Below are 16989 nucleotides of genomic sequence, written 5' to 3' on the forward strand. Positions count from 1 at the left end.
CATGTTTTTTTTTTTTAATTTAAGGACTGAAGTCCTTATGAGTTTTCTCTATTTTGCTTTGCTTCCTTCCTTTATATGAAAGATGTAATAGACAATTTAGCATAAACAGGTTATGTTCTATACATAATAGACAAATTATCATCAGCACGATAAACTAGTTTCTTAGTATATATCTTTTTTAAAAATTGTCTTTTTGAGACAATATTTGCCTTTTCCTCCAAAATATAGTTAGATAGGCTCACTTCTTCATACACAGAATTTCCATCACCTCTGCACCCCCCCCCCCTTTTTTGACATTTCTTTTCTCTTGATTTTATGTGTGCATCAAGTTTGGAAAATTGTAACCTATGCTTTAGATTATTCTGTTGGCAATTGTCAGTTGTTAACAGGAATTTCTTTTCCATGCCCCTCTTCAGCTGCCTTATGTAGGAGTAAAAATCTTAAAGAGATTTTTATTTGCTTTTAAAACAGCAAACACCCAAAGAAGACTTATTTGCCACTCTATCATAATGGTCTGAAGCATTATTTGCTTAACAAATAGTTGGTGGATATGTAGTGTCTGTTAATATCCCAATTTACTAGGAAACAATGACCTTTTGAAAGTTTTACGCAAATGTGTTCTATGTTTTGTTAACACATGATGTTTGTATGTATATTTATTCAAGGGAGATTGGCCACTGCCATATTTAGAACCTCTCATACAAAGTACACTCCAGTTTAAAAATAGGTCTTTGTAATCCCAGCACTTTGGGAGGCCGAGGTGGGCGGATCACGAGGTCAGGAGATGAAGACCATCCTGGCTAACACGGTGAAACCCCGTCTCTACTAAAAAAATTACAAAAAATCAGCAGGGTGTGGTGGCGGGTGCCTGTGGTCCCAGCTACTCGGGAGGCTGAGGCGGGAGAATGGCGTGAACCCAGTAGGAGGAGCTTGCAGTGAGCTGAGATCGTGCCACTGCACTCCAGGCTGGGCAACAGAGCGAGACTCCATCTCAAAAAAAATAGGTCTTTGTTAAAATAGAATGTTTTAATTCTTTATTGGTTTTATCTGTAAGGTATTAAACAACAACATTTCAAAAGAGAGAGAGGATATCTATGTAAAAATAATTTTAAATAATATCCAAAATAAATGTTATTCTGAGATTAGAAAGTTCAAAAATTTTGTTTGTTGGCTGCGTGCAGTGGCTCACGCCTGTAATCCCAGCTCTTTGGGAGGCTGAGGTAGAAGGATTGCTTGAGCCCAGGAGTCTGAGACCAGCCTGAGAAACATAGGGAGACCACATCTCTACAAAAAATTTAAAAATCAGCCAGGTGTGGTGGCATGCATTTGTAGTCTCAGCTACTCAGGAGGCTGAGGCGGGAGGATAGCTTGAGCCCAAGAATTCGAGGTGGCAGTGATCTATAATTGTGCCATTTCACTTCAGCCTGAGCAACAAAACAAGACCTCCATCTCTTAAAAAAATTTTTTTGTTTGTAAGGAAAAAAAGATGCATTCATATGTTTTATTTCACAAGAGTCTCTATCTCAAACCTTATCCTCAAATTTTGAGACAAGATTAGCCTGTGTATAGAACCACAGATGGTAACAATCACATACCTTTGGCATGTGGGTGAGAATCTTAAAGGCATTTTTATTTGCCAGTTTATGTACCAAATTGTCTTATAATACGTAAGATATTTTTGATGAAACTAGTGCTCCTCTCCAAATACACTGCCTCCCTCCCTCCCTACACAGTTTCAATTCTACAACTGCCTTAAAATGTTTTGTGTGATAGCTGTTAATAAGTATGCTTAGGAAATGCAATCAAAGATATTGGCTTGTGATTTTCTTTTCTGTACTGTACATTTGTTTTGGCTCATGAGACGTGAGATCAAGGTAGAATGCATACAGGAGAACATAATGAAAATTGGGGGTATTCTTTGAATATGAATGCTAAGTTTAATGTGTTTAAAAACATTTTACAATCTCTCAACCTTGGCGATATTGGCATATATTTTAAAATGTGTGTTATAGACAGATTTTGAATGAGGACAAACCTAAAATATGACAAGATGTACAAGTTTGAAGATGAGTTACATGAAGATAATTGGGAACCTTCTCTTCCTTTCTGTGACCCAAGATAAAATATCTTAAAAAAAGCAATTTAGGCAGGAAAAACAATAAATCCTAATGAGAAGAGCAACCAAGAGAAGGCATAAGAGAAGCAAAGAGCTAAAGCTGGTAATCAAACTGTGTTTTGAATTCCACTAAAATAAAACAAAGGACAGCTTGTGAAGTTCAGCCTATGGAGAACAGAATCAAGCTAGTGATGCAAATCATTTAAAATAAATGTATAGAAAGAAAACCCCAATTTTTTTGAAAAAAGAATTGTATTTTTGTCTATTTCAAAGACTTCATGGAAAGGGAGACCTATACTAAGTTTGTAAGTTCAAAGTTGGTGTTTCTTTAGGGATGGGATTACCGGTAGGTTTTAGAGTTTTTAAAAATAATGTTCTTACACCTTGAACAATGAGCCTCTTGAGTTTGTAGGAAGGGCAGCATGTCCTCTAACGCTTTGAAACCTTTAGAGGGAAGATCCTCATTTTTTACAATTTTGTTCCTTTTCATCATAGAAAACATGTTTAAGATAAAATACAAACTTTACCTACCCCAAATTCATAAAGTACATTTAGTGCTGTATAGCACTAAAACTTAGAGATACAGACACTGTACTTACTTTTTAAGAATTAGAGACAGTAACTCCAAAAATAATTGTCCTTTTTTCTTTCTTTTTTTTTTTTTACAATAAGGCTCTTGAAAATTGTCATTACTTGTGTTTTCCTATACATTCATCTGTGTGAAAGCCTTTTTCTTCTTTGATTTAAAAAAATTAACTATACAGTTAATGGTTTAGAACTTAGAACTACTTAGAATTAATGCTAAAGTGTCAGGAAGAAATTAATTTAGCTTCAATAATTGTGACTGGCCTCAGGAATTCTCCCTTCCACACCTGCCCACCTCACCTCACCGCACCGCACCGCACCGCACCGCACCAGAGCCAGAGCAGCTGCTTGTCTGCAGCAGGACACAGTTCCTACATACGTTTCAGTTCTTTCATGGTAAGCTCAATGGACTTTGAATTGTTTACAGTGCTGTATGTCCAATTGTTAAATGTACCATTCTGAACGATGTTAAAGCAAGTGTGGTTTATTTATGGCATGAACCATGTAACTTGAAATATGAACTTACAAGGAGGGGCACTCATTAGGTAACAAGTTCTTACACCAAACTTCCTTGATGAAATAAGCCAAAATAATCCTAAAATTCATTAGAAGAACTTGATAAAAGACTCAAATAAATGTTAGAAAGAGCCCATAATTTTAGGACTCCTATAAAATTCTTCCTTGTTTGTTAATGCTATTAAAACTCAGATTCGAGGGAAATACCAGCTTCCCCTTGAGTCACTTTGAAATAGTTAATTCAACAGCACCATGTTAGAAATATATTGGCAGCCAAGACTCTGAACTCTGCAGAAACATTTGTTTCACCCAGACTTCAAACTCTAGCCCTGACTATGATGCCCCTGTGTGCATTTACAATAAAGACTCCAACGGAGGGAAAAAAAAAAAAAAAATGTTCTAATGTTCAAATAAGGGCATCCTAAGTGGAATTTAATTTATTGTAGCTCAGGCATCCAAATATCAATTTTCCTTATGAGCCTTAAGATCTTTAATTTTTTTTAACCTTACTTTCTCTTGAAAATAAAAAACTACCTTTGTTAAGTAAATAAACAGCTTACCAGGAGCTGACTTGTCTAATTATTTTTATGTAATAAAGTTGGGAGGGCTGGGTGCAGTGGCTCAGGCCTGTAATCCCAGCACTTTGGGAGGCTGAGGTGGGTGGATTACCTGAGGTCAGGAGTTCAAGACCAGCCTGGCCAACATGGTGAAACCCCATCTCTACTAAAAATACAAAAAATTAGCTGGGCGTGGTGGCGGGTGCCTATAATCCCAGCTACTCAGGAGTCTGAGGCAGGAGAATCGCTTGAGGTTACTGTGAGCCAAGATCACACCATTGCACTCCAACCTGGGCAACAGAGTGAGACTCTGTACCGAAAAATAAAAATAAAAATCAATAAAAATAAGGTTGGGAGGTTTAGCATATTTTATCTGCAAAAGGAAAGCAAGTTTATATGATGTTTATTACATTGGGTTAAGTTCAGAAAAATAGAGTTGTTTTTCTCTCTCTTAAGCTTAGGTCTCCATGAATTGCATGCGGTTGAAGACTGGCCCATTGCAGGGCATGGTAGAGTCAAGCTAGTTTAACCTTCCCATGTCAAAAACTACATTTAGGCAGGATCTGATGACTTGATTCATTTTTATGTGTAATAGAACCAAAGGAAATCTAGGGCAGCTTGGTTTTACAGAAACAGTTTTGAAGTGTGTATTCTGGCTGTGACATTGTGGTTAATCACCTCTACTCTGTGCATTTGTGAAACCTGAATCTCATCAGTGAAATGAGGGGATGGCACCAGATCAGTGATTCTCAACCAGAGATGATTTTACAACTGAGAAAGTGGGATGCTACTAGCATTTAGTAGGTGGCGGCCAGGGATAATGCCAAAAATCCTACAATGCCCAGTACATTCCCACACAACAAAGAATTACCCAGCCTCAAATGGCAATAATGCTGGCATTGAGAAACCCTGGACTAGAACATCTCTTGGCACTCTCTGCTCCAATACTATGAATAATGAAGCTCATTACTTTATCCCTGCCAAGGGCAATTCAGTTCAACCAACATTGATTAGGTGCCTTCTTTTTGTGTTCTTAGTTCTTTAGGGAGAACTAAGAACTTCTCCCTATTTGACATAAAAAAAGAAGGTAAAACTCTATCTCTGGAATTCGTCATATTCCAAATATTGTCCCATGTAGCTTCTACTCATGGTAGCTCTGTTTGATAAGGAATGTACATTTTCAATGATTCCAGATATATCGGCAAAATTATGGCTTTTCACATTTCTAGACATTTCTTCTTTCTTACTTGTTTCCCTAATTATTAGGTTCCAAGACAATCAACTAAAAGAGAAATTTGAAAGAGTCAGATGGTTTATATAACTCTTAAAATCCGTATTGTTGGATTAAGCCATTCCTGATATTGGATCTTATTGTCTTCACCCGCACAATGAGAGTGGAGTACAATGCACTATTGAAAGTCTCCTTGTATCCTGAAATTCTGTGTTTATGTCTTTAAATACTGTTGGAGCCCTGATATTTGATGATTAGATGATTCAAAAAAGAGGGGGGAAAACAAGTATTATTTAGGTCACATGTTTGGAGAGATGGAAAGTCTTAATTTATTGTTTAAGTCAACATCATGACAAATACCCAGCTCTACAGGGTTTACTATGATGTGCAGGTGTATGTGTGCCTGTGTGTGTGCGCCTGTGTGTGTGCACATGCATGGGCTTGCCCCCGCCCCTGCAATTTGGATAGAGCAATTTTGGGTTGAGAATTTTTTTTCCCCTTTCTTAAAAGTCAGTTTCTATTCACTTCCTGTTTGTATTGAGAAATCATCAATATGATTTATTGTCATTATGTCCCTTTGAATGACTATAATTTTGTTTTCCTTTGCCTTAAATTAAAACCCCTAAGAGATAATTTATTTTCAAAATTAAATATGTCTGTGTATGCAAAAGATGATTAAATACACACACATACATATTTAGTGGTTTTTTAAAGGGTCTTGGCATTTGCTACTTAAGTTACCTTTTATTTCTTTTTCACATTGGTAAATTTGTCAACTATTTCTGCTGTAAATATACTTAATAAGAAGGCTAACTAGGCAACCTAAAATTTAAGTGAAGATACTTTTAATAATGAAGGTGAACATGTCTTTGCACTTCCCTGTTTCTGGATTTACTGTCTCAGCTTTCTTCAAGTGCAAAGGACACCATATTTCATTCATGTGTTTCATAATTATAAAAGACTCTGGGTTAATCCTTGCAATAAACTTTGGGGATAACTTTTGCCTTTTAAATCTCTCTCTGGAAAGTGATGTGAGACTTAAAAAGACTCTGTATAAGAAAATAATTTAGTTGTAGAACATCAAACTTTTCACTTAAATCCCTTGTTAAGACAATAATAGATTCAAAAGAACAAAAGGTCAGTATATTAAAAACTGTAAGATCACTTAAAAATATAATACTCCTTAAGCATGAACAATATAAATGCTTCATTTAATGTGTCTAAATGTATAGATTTTGTAACACTAAAAGGTTGTAATGCTATAATAAAGACATATCTCAGGCCAGGCTTGGTGGCTCACGCCTGTAATCCCAGCACTTTGGGAGGCCAAGGCAGGCAGATTACCTGAGGTCTGGAGTTCCAAACCAGCCTGGCCAACATGGTGAAACCCCGTCTCTACTAAAAATACAAAAATTAGCCAGGCATGGTGGTACGTGCCTGTAATCCCAGCTACTTGGGAGGCTGAGGCAGGAGAATTGCTTGAACCCGGGAGGTGGAGGTTGCAGTGAGCCAAGATTGCATCACTGCCACTTCACTACAGCCTGGGCAATGGAGTGAGACTTTGTCTCAAAAAAAAAAAAAAAAAAAAAAAAAAAAACAACAAACAGCATATCTTGTATGTACGTAATCTGTTCAGAATTAAACAAAAAAAAGTTTTTTTTTAATTCAAAGATATCTACATGCTTTTTGAATCAATAAAGTTGTAATTAGCTGATGTTTGTATGCATTGTATCTCCACTTGAAAATTTTACACCAAAATAATAAAACCATGGTCTATTCTGTTTTCCTAACAAAGATATGGTACTTTGACTACCTGACTGCCATAGAAATCAAGAAGAGCATAGCCATTTATTTTTTATGTGCTTTTATAAAGATAATCCTATCTCTTTACAGTAAGTCACAAATCCACAGGCAGCAGTCAAGTAACACATTTTCAAGCAACTTATACTTATTTGCTTAGTATAATTTTCTACCATTCTTTGAAATGGAACAACTCTTAGGCTCAGAGCATCTCTTGCAGTTTTAAAATCCAGCTAGTTTTTGAAAATCTCTTTTGAGATGTCTCAAAATGACATCTGTCAGAATCCCCTCCCTCTTTTTGTAAAAGGCTTTCTGCCAAGACACACCCAACAGCCATTTCTAGTCTATGATTTCCATACCAGACTAGCCACAGGGGAACTTGTGAATTGGTCCATTTATTCTAGATTTACTTGGCAATCGCTGGAAAAATTCTCTCTAATCTCTTATTCCCCAGATTTATCAGGGATTATCTTCACCACCACTACTTTCACCCTGGGAGTCAGCTCAGTGCTGACAGTGGTCATGGGGACCTTGCCTAGTCCTATTGAGACTTCTGTTCTTGTTGTTTTCCTCTGTTCCCTCCATCCTGCTCTCAGTCCCAGCACAGTTCACACATTCTTACTCTGATTAATTATGTTCTTTTCCAGAGGTTTGATGTCCTAGCTCCTAGGCTTTTGAAACCCAGTTTTTTCTCTGTCAAAGTATTAACTCTGCCATGAGTTTCCAAAATCTATTTTGAAACCCAAACTCTACTTTTTCCTTTTTGCAATTCTGCTTTAACATTTTAATCCAGAAACATGAGGATGGAATTAATCTTTAGCTACCTGGGTTGACAGAAGGAACACAGAACACAGGACTATGAGAAAGACAAAACTAGAAAACATTTATGAGCATGTGGTCTCCGCAATGCTGAGTAGTGAGTGCTGTGGTTTTATGCTGAATGGTGTTGCTACTTCTCTGTCTACTTATCCCCCTTTCCTCTACACTTAATATTCAGGCATTTAACGTTTGTGCCAGGCTCTGCAATAGGCCTGGGTGATTCCCCAGGAAATAAAGGAGACGATATCCCTCCCTCATGTAGCTTAGATTCTAGTAAGTTCTCAATATTCTGGACCCTGGTCTCTGCCTTTTTGCTCCTATTTGTAACCTTTTCTACACGCTGTGTACTTCCTCACTAAAAGCTGTCCACTTTACACTCAGGCTGCACATTCTGTGGACTCCTACTGCAACGGAAGTGACACGTCTGGTCCTTGGCTCCTCTGATCATTGAGGAACCCTATCCTTGTGGCTAGTTACTGTAGCCTTTGACTTTCCTACTTCCTGAAAAAGAGAAAAAGACGATGATAGAATTCAATGGCAAGAACATGGGCTCTTGTGATTTTTGAAAAAATCAGTCCTTACTGAACTTCAATTTTATCCTACAAAAATGGGGCTACTAATCACCATTTCTAATGGAACCCATACTAATAAGTATTTGTGATTTTTTTAAAAGTATAATTTCTTTAAATTTTTTCCAAGTGCTTTCATCTTTATTGCAGTATAATTGACAAAAATTATACCTATTTAAGGTGTAAAATGTGATGATTTGATGTATGTGTACATTGTATAATGATTACCACAGTTAAATTAATCAATGTAACTATTAATGTACTAGTTACTCTGTGTGTGTATATGGGAGAAGAGATGAGGACACATAAAATCTATTCTCAGCAAATTTCAAGTAAAAAGTAAAATATTATTAACTGTAGTCACCATGCTATACATTAGCTCTCCAGAACTTATTCCTTTGATAACTGAATGTTTCTACCCTTTAAACACCATTTTTCCTTTTCACTTAAATCCCTTATTAAGACAATAATAGATTCAAAACAACAAAACATCCATTTCAACCAAAAGTCCATTCCAACCCCTGGCAACCATCATTCTACTCTTTGCTTCTGTAATTCTGACTATTTTAGATTCCACTAAAGTGAGATCACGCAATATTTGTCCTTTTGTGACTGGCTCATTTCACTTGGCATAATATATTTGGAATTCATTCATGTTATTGGAAATGGCAGGATTTCTTTCTTTTTTAAGGCTGAATAATATTTCATTGTTTAACACGTTTTATTTATTCATTTATCCATCAACAGACACTTCGGTTGTTGCCATATCTAATTGTTAAGAATGATACTGCAATGGTTGAATGAAATACTCACTATCAAAGGGCTCTAAAGACTTAAATGTTTCTTGTTATCATTTCCTTTAGAATCACTTCAATTTTGGAAGAAAGAGGTTGATTTCCTGCTAAAGGGTCAACTGAATATATTGTCTTCTTTCTCTCTTCCATTATGAGCAATTGTAGAAGCCTATTTTCTATGTTACTTTTGACTTCTTCAATTTTAACTGCTCCTCCATCCTAAACACCTCCACATGGGAAATAAAAGACCAGAATCCAACTATATGTATAGAAAAACATAAAACTCAGCATTGTAGTCCTCTGCTGCTCACTGTGATTGATTATGGAGTGTTTTTCTTTCTTTTCCCTTGAGTGTACCTCCATCAGATACTTCCATGCTGATCCATGCCATCTGTTCTGTGAAACTTGCTGTCAGACAACCATACACTTTAAGCACTAAGTTATCCAAATTCTATCTTAAAAATTATGTTGTGATTATTAAAAATCTTTTTTTATATAGAGGATTTCAAATAGCTAAGCATATGCTAAATTTTTCATACTTCACAAGTTCAAATTTTCTTGGTTCAAATCAGGATTCAAAATATATGTGTTGCTTTAAATATGTCTGTTTGAAAAAATGCATATGGATTCTCCAAAATTTGGGTTTCTAAGCAAGAAGATATGCCATATAATCGAAACCAATTTATATTGGCTTTATCTTAGTGAAATGTAGATAATCACAATCTCTTATTTCATAGTAACATGAGGTTTTTGTGATGCTGTCTGTAAAGTGTTGGTGTCTTTAGATAAAGGGGTCGCTCTTTAAGAAAATATTACTACTGTTCATGATTTTATTAGCAAGGTGTTGATTTAAATTAAAACTGTAGCAAAAATGCTATGGCTCTGATTTTAAACTGCTGTAAGTTCTAGACAGCAAAGGAAAGCTGAAAATAAATGCTGCATTTAAAAATAAATGTTGCTTTACCAAAGAGGTGGGAAGATGGAAGACAGGATGGAGTGAAAGGCTCCAGTAATTTTACCTATGGTACTCTGAGTTCACAAAGGTGTCTTGTACTCAGACAGAAAACCGCAGCGTGAAGAGGGGACAGCATGAGTGAAGAGGAAGTGAATTTTCACCCTTCACTTCCAAACCACAGGAAAGGAAGTGACTTTAAAATGCCAGGATGGAACAAAAGCATTTCAGATGTGCAGGCTTTAATAAGAAGAGCTCAAAATGCCGTAAAATGCCCTTTGATGTTGCAATGGAAACAGTTTTTGAAGTTAAACAGTATGATTTGATGGTTGAGTAGAAAGTAGGCTTTTTCTAGAGCACCAAATGCATCAGATATGGCTATAACACTAATTTTCTGATGTGTCTGTCAGTTAAGCAGAGCTAAATTAATATATTCACTGCATATTTGTCTGCTAATTTTTCTTTAATGAACAAAGATATTACTTGCTTCATAAGTTCCTGTCTTCTTGAAGTTTTGTAGAATGATAGTATCATCTCAAAAATAATTAATTCTTTTCAAAAATCAAGCTCCTCAGTAAAGCCTTTTTTTGAAACATTAGTTCTATGTATACTGAAATTGAAAGAGGACAATTCTCAAGTGACTAAAAAGCGGTTTAAAGCATTTTATCAGAAATAACTATGTTACCTATCTCATTGATAGAAACATGTCCAAGACTGTTTTATGATCCCTGTACATCCCTCAAAAACTAAAACATTAAAAGATTCATATATTGCATGCTAAAGCAGGATAGAGTGATGTTCATTTTCAAGAATCATTTAGAATAGTGATCTCTAAAGTATTAGGTACCAACCTCAAGATAATTCGCTGGGGTGGAAGTAGGGCACAAGTTAGACGTGATAGAGATGCCATTAGTGTGTTTTGAAGCAAATCTCAAACAGGGGTCACAAACTATGGTCTGTGGGCCAAACCTGGCTCACCAGTGTTTTTATAAATAAAGTATTATTGGAACATGGCCTTGCCTATTTCAGTTATGTGTCACTTAAGAATGGGATATGTTTTGAGAAATGCATCATTAGGTGATTTTGTCATTGTGTGAACATCAGAGGGAATTACACAAATCCAGACAGTGTAGCCCATTACACCTAGGGTATGTGGTATAGGCTATTACTGCTGGGCTACAAACCTGTACAGCATATTACTGTACTGAATACTGGAAGCAATTGTAACACAATGGTAAGTATTTGTGTATCTAAACATATCTGATCATAGACAGGGTACTGTGAAAATACAATATAAAAAATAAAAGAAGGAACACCTGTATAGTGCACTTACCATGAATGGAGGTTGCTCTGGGTGAATCAGTGAGTGAGTGGTGAGTATATGTGAAGGCCTAGGACATTACTTGTACATTATTGTAGACTTTAGGAACACTTAGACTACACTAAATTTATTAATATTTTTTTGAGATGGAGTCTTGCTCTGTTGCCCAGGTTGGAAGGCAGTGGTGCGATCTCGGCTCACTGCAGCCTTCATCTTCTGGGTTCAAGCGATTCTCCTGTGTCAGCCTCCCGGTAGCTGGGACTACAGGTGCACGCCATCATACATAGTTTTTTGTATTTTTAGTAGAGATGGGATTTTGCCATGTTAGCAAGGCTGGTGTTGAAGTCCTGACCTCAGGTGATCTGCCCACCTCAGCCTCCCAAAGTACTGGGATTACAGGTGTGAGCCACCACAACTGGCCACATTTTCTTTTTTCAATAATAACCTCAGCTTACTGTAATTTTTTACTTAATAAACTTGAAGTTTTTAAACTTTTTGACTCTTATAATAAACAAAATGCAAACACAGGCCAGGTGCAGTGGCTCACACCTGTAATCCCAGCACTTTGGGAGGCTGAAGCAGGCGGATCATGAGGTCAGGAGATGAAGACCATCCTGGCTAACATGGTGAAACCCTGTCTCTACTAAAAGTACAAAAAAAAATTAGCCGGGCATGGTGGCGGGCGCCTGTAGTCCCAGCTACTCGGGAGGCTGAGGCAGGAGAATGGTGTGAACCTGGGAGGTGGAGCTTGTAGTGAGCCGAGATCATGCCACTGTACTCCAGCCTGGGGACAGAGCGAGACTCCGTCTCAAAAAAAATAAAAATAAAAAATAAAAATAAAAATAAAAATAAAAAGATACAAACACATTATGCAGCTGTACAAAAATATTTTTTATTTATATCTTTAATCTATAAGCTTTTTCTCTATTTTAAAATTTTCTGGATTTTTTTTCTTTTTTTTTTTTACATTTTAAACTTTTTTTTTTTTTTTTTTCTCAGACACAAGTACACAAGTTAGCCTAGGCAGGGTCAGGATCACAAGACATCACTCTGCAATAGGAATTTTTCGGCTCCATGTTAATCTATGGGACCACCAATACATATATGGTCTGCTTACCAAAACATCGTTATGCAGTGCATGACTGTATGTATCTATTGTTTAAGGCTGCTTTTATGTTACTATGTTAGGATTGAGTAATTGTGACAGATTTATGGTTTGCAAAGCCTTCAATATTTACTGATGGGAACTTTACAGGAAAATGTTTGCCAACTTCTAACATAAAATAACAACAAAGATTCTAAGCTTTGCTGATTTATATGGGTTTACATGGGTCTCCTTTGTAGGTCTGAATGCTAGATAGTTACAACTCATATATATTCTAAATGAGATTCCTTGGAAAAGTGTCAGGCCTTTCTAACTTGGGGTGATGGACAGTGAGCCCTCAGTTGGCCATTCCTTAAGCCTGTTGTATCTTATTGCACTATATGTGCCCAGTTAGCTAGACATACGATTTATCATTTTTAACTATTTTTAACGAAAATAGCCATCTTAAAATAAGCAAATGACTTTATTAAAAAAAACCTTCGGCAAAATAATCTAGATTGACTATACCACTGCTGATACAAGCATAAGCAACAAGAAATAGCAGAGGTGACACCATATCTATGTCTAACATAAGCTTGTCATCAGACATACGTATCCATTTCAAACCCTGAAAATCTACTTGAATTTGATAAGAAGTAGGTTATTTTTTGAAATGATTAAAACAATTTAAAATATAGTTTTATATCTGCTTTTATTATGAATATACCTGTCCTTAAGTTTATATTTTTGCCTTGAGTTTTAACTAATAATTGCATTATGGCATCATACTTGATAAGACATTAACAAAACCGGCATCCAAGGTCATGAAGCTGTGCAATTTTCAGTACTGTTTAAAGACACAAGGTACTCAATATTATAATGTGTAAAGTTTTACTGAAGCAAATGATAAAATTCTCTTTTGAAGAATCTTAACAGGGAAAAAATGAAAAACCCAATTCAGCTGGGGATACGTGTGTTCTTCCTGCTGAAGTATTTATTGCAGAATAATAACAATAGAATGATGAACTGAAATTTATTCCTTTGTAATTAAATGCCATTAGAAAATGCATAGAAAACACCTTTGAAGATCTGAAAAAGTGAGTAATGAGCCAATTACTCCCAATATGGGAGTTTTATTATGCAGTTGGATCAAAGTATAGATTTTAAAATATTCTCAGTTTATAACATTTGTTTTCTAAATATGAAATATACAGAAAGTGACATTTGAAATATATGAAATACACAGAAAGTGACATTTTGGATTCTTAAGGGAAAAACAAATAATAAAAAATTTGTTCTCTAAAGTAAGTGACTTCTTTAATAAAAACACTGTTTTATGAGAAAATTCTGGAGGCATAATAGCAGTGGGCTACATTAATGATTGTACTATGAGGTTGCAGTTACATCAACATTTATAGGTAACCTATAACGACAAAGGAGATATACACACACACACACACACGTAGAGGATTCTTTACAATAATAAAACTCTGTTCATGAGAAGGATTATGAAAATCTTTGGGATCATTCGGAGTTTCTCAAGTTATCTCATGGCAAATTATTTTAAAAAGTAACAAACTTCAAGACGCATTAGAAATGCTCGTTTTTGAGAAATGCAAGTGGGGTTCCTGATATAATGCTCTATCTCTCTGTGGCAGCCTGGGCACAGACAAGTTGCCATGGAAATTGCTGTGTAGCTGATGATAGTCTTCATTATTTTAGAAGTAGAGGCTAAACCAACTCATACCCCAAACCCTGGGCACAAAGATAATCCCAGGTAGTGGTCCTTTCCCTGTATGAACCTGTTGGAAAAACATCTCGTCCAGGAAATCCATTTGCTATGGAAATAAATAAAATACAAAAGGAAAAAAAGAACTCCAGAGTGAATAACAAACAAAATTAATATTTAACTTGAGACTTTTAAAACAAAGTGTAGTGAACAGTTGAAAAGTGACAGAGTATTCCAGGTACCTACCACAAATTAAAAAAAAGGAGAGATCATAATCTGCAAAATGGGCAGGTTGAATTCAGGCTAAAAGTTCCTTAAGCAAGACACATAAGACCCCCTTATAATGCTAAAAGATGGCATTTACAAGGAAAATACAGTCATTAGAATATGAAAAACCAAAATATAACCTCTATCTTCATAAGGCAAAAGCAGGAGATAAGATCTGGAAAAAGTGAAAATATATTATTGGTAAAATATTTTGTTAACTTGTTTGTTCAGTTTATCATAGATCAAATAAAAATAGGCAAAAGTAGATCATCTCGAGTAAATCTAATTTATATATATTCAGACTCTATCCTGCAAACAAAACAAAATATTACTCTTTTTAATATCTGTGGAACTCTCATAAAAACTGACTATACATTAAGCTAAAAAAGAAAACCTATTAATTGCCAAGATGGAAACAATATACACAAATTTATCTGATCACAAAAAATTTATAAATTAATAACAAAGTTAGAAAACAAAAAGTTCCTGACATTTGTAAATTGAAAATTTTGCTTTTTCATGAAACTTTATCAAAGAGGAAATTCAGAATAAAATTTCTGTGTTTTACTTTTTTTATTCTCTAACTTTATTGAGGTATAATTGACAATTAAAAATTGTATATATTTTAGGTAAAAAACTTGACGTTTTGATACATGTATGTATTGTGAAGTGATCACCACAATCAAGCTAGCATATTTATCACCTCATGCAATTAACATTATTATACTATTATTGTTGTGGTAAGAATATTTAGGATCTGCCCTCTTAGCAATCAAGCCTACAGAGTATACAGTACACTATTGTTAGTTATATTAATATTGCCATTCATTAGATCTCCAGAAGTTATTCATCTTTGGTAACTGAAACTTTGTACCTTTTGATTAACAGTGACCCATTTTCCCCTCCCCTCTGCCCCTGGTAATCACTATTCTACTCTCTGCCTTCTATGAGTTTGACTATTTTGGATTTCACATTTAAGTTACGTAATGCACTATTTGTCTTTCTGTGTCTGGTTTATTTCACTTAACATAATGTCCTCCAGGTTAATTTATATTGTCACAGATGGCAGGATTTCCTTGTTGTTTAAGGCTGATTAATATTCCATTATATGTATTTATGTATTATACCACCTTTCCTTTATCCACTTACCTGTCAATACACATCTAGTTTATTCCCATTTCTTGGCTATAGTTCTGCAGTGTACATGAAAGTACAGATATCTCTTCAAGACACTGATTTAATTTCCTTTGATGATATACCCAGAAGTGGGATCGATGCATTTTTATGGTAGCCATATTTTAAATTTTGGGGGGAAACTTCATACTGTTTTCCTTACTGACTTACCAATTAACATTCCCACCAACAGTGTACAAGTGTTCTCTTTTTTCCACATTCTGACCAACACTCATTCCTATTGCTAATACTCATTCCAACAGGTGTGATATGATAGCTCATGGTGGTTTTGATTTGCATTTCCCTGATGACTAGTGATGTTGAGCACCCTTTCATATACCTGTTGGTCTTTTCATATGCTCATTGGCCATATCTTCTTTTGAAAAATATCTGTTCAGGTCCCTTGCCCATTTTTTAATTGAGTTATTTGTGCTTTTTTGGTATTGAGTTGTATGAGGTTTTTTTCAAATACATATATTTTGGATGTTAAGCTTTTATATAGACAGTTTGCAAATATTTTCTTCCTATATACTGTAGGTTGCCTTTTCACACTGTTGAATGTTCCCTTTGCTGTAGAGATTTTTTTAAGTTTGTTGCAATCCCACTTATCTATTTTTGCTTTTGGTGTCTGTTCTTTTGCTGTCGTATCAACAAACAAACAAACAAACAAAATACCCACAACAATGTCAAGCAGAAGCTTTTTTTCTTGTTTGCTTCTAGTAGTTATACAGTTTTGAATCTTATGTTTATGTGTTTAATCCATTTTGAGTTGATTTTTGTATATTGTGTGAAATAAGGATCCAGTTTCATTCTTCTGCATGAGGACATACAGTTTTCACCACACCATTTATTGAGGAGACTATCCTTTCACCTTGTCAAAGATTAGTTGTCCAACCATAATGGGTAGATTTATTTTTGTTCCACTGGCTATAGTCTGCTTTTATGACAGTGCCATACTGTTTTGATTACTATGGCTTTGTAATACACTTTGAAATCACAAAATGTGATACCTTCAAAAAAGGGTGTTTGAAAAATTTCTTTGGATTCACTGAGAGTATTTTTAATATTGTCTTTCTGGCTTGCATACGACTTCTGATCTTTCTATAATAAGCTTATATTACTTTGTAATTATATTAAAACTAAGCCTTTTAAAAAGTAAAAAGAAGATCTAACTCGAAAAAATAGAAAATAAAATTTCTATCTGGAAAAGTAAGCTAATGAAATCATTATTTTTCAAATTATTGTCTATTAGAACTGATAAGATATAGTTAAAATAGTCCTTGAAAGGAAATTTATAATGTAAAAATGCTAAATGAATAAGAAGAGTAATAAAGGTCAACCAAGTAAGCATTCAATTTGGAAAATTTAAAAACAAAAATAAAACAAATATTTAGAGGAAACATTATTTAAGGAGAAAATCCTTATTCTTTGCATAAGAAAATAAATGAAAAGGACTTTATAGCATTAGAAAACGAT

The 16989-nt window shown here is 35.1% G+C and overlaps 1 protein-coding gene across 18 annotated transcripts in view; it reads left to right on the plus strand.

Moving 5' to 3' along the window:
• MLIP (muscular LMNA interacting protein) overlaps positions 1–16989 on the plus strand; it is a 247311-nt gene that overhangs the window by 188165 nt on the left and 42157 nt on the right. The window contains exon 12 of one of the 18 annotated variants that reach the window (NM_001281746.2): positions 8006–10952. The exons of the other annotated variants lie outside the window; for them this stretch is intronic. Within the exon in view, the coding sequence (NP_001268675.1) occupies positions 8006–8068 (63 nt within the window). The 3' untranslated portion in view covers positions 8069–10952. Of the gene's footprint in view, positions 1–8005; positions 10953–16989 lie in introns of those variants that run through there. 18 annotated transcript variants of the gene reach the window in all.

This window comes from Homo sapiens, chromosome 6 (assembly GCF_000001405.40).
Source record: "Homo sapiens chromosome 6, GRCh38.p14 Primary Assembly".
NCBI lineage: Eukaryota > Metazoa > Chordata > Mammalia > Primates > Hominidae > Homo > Homo sapiens.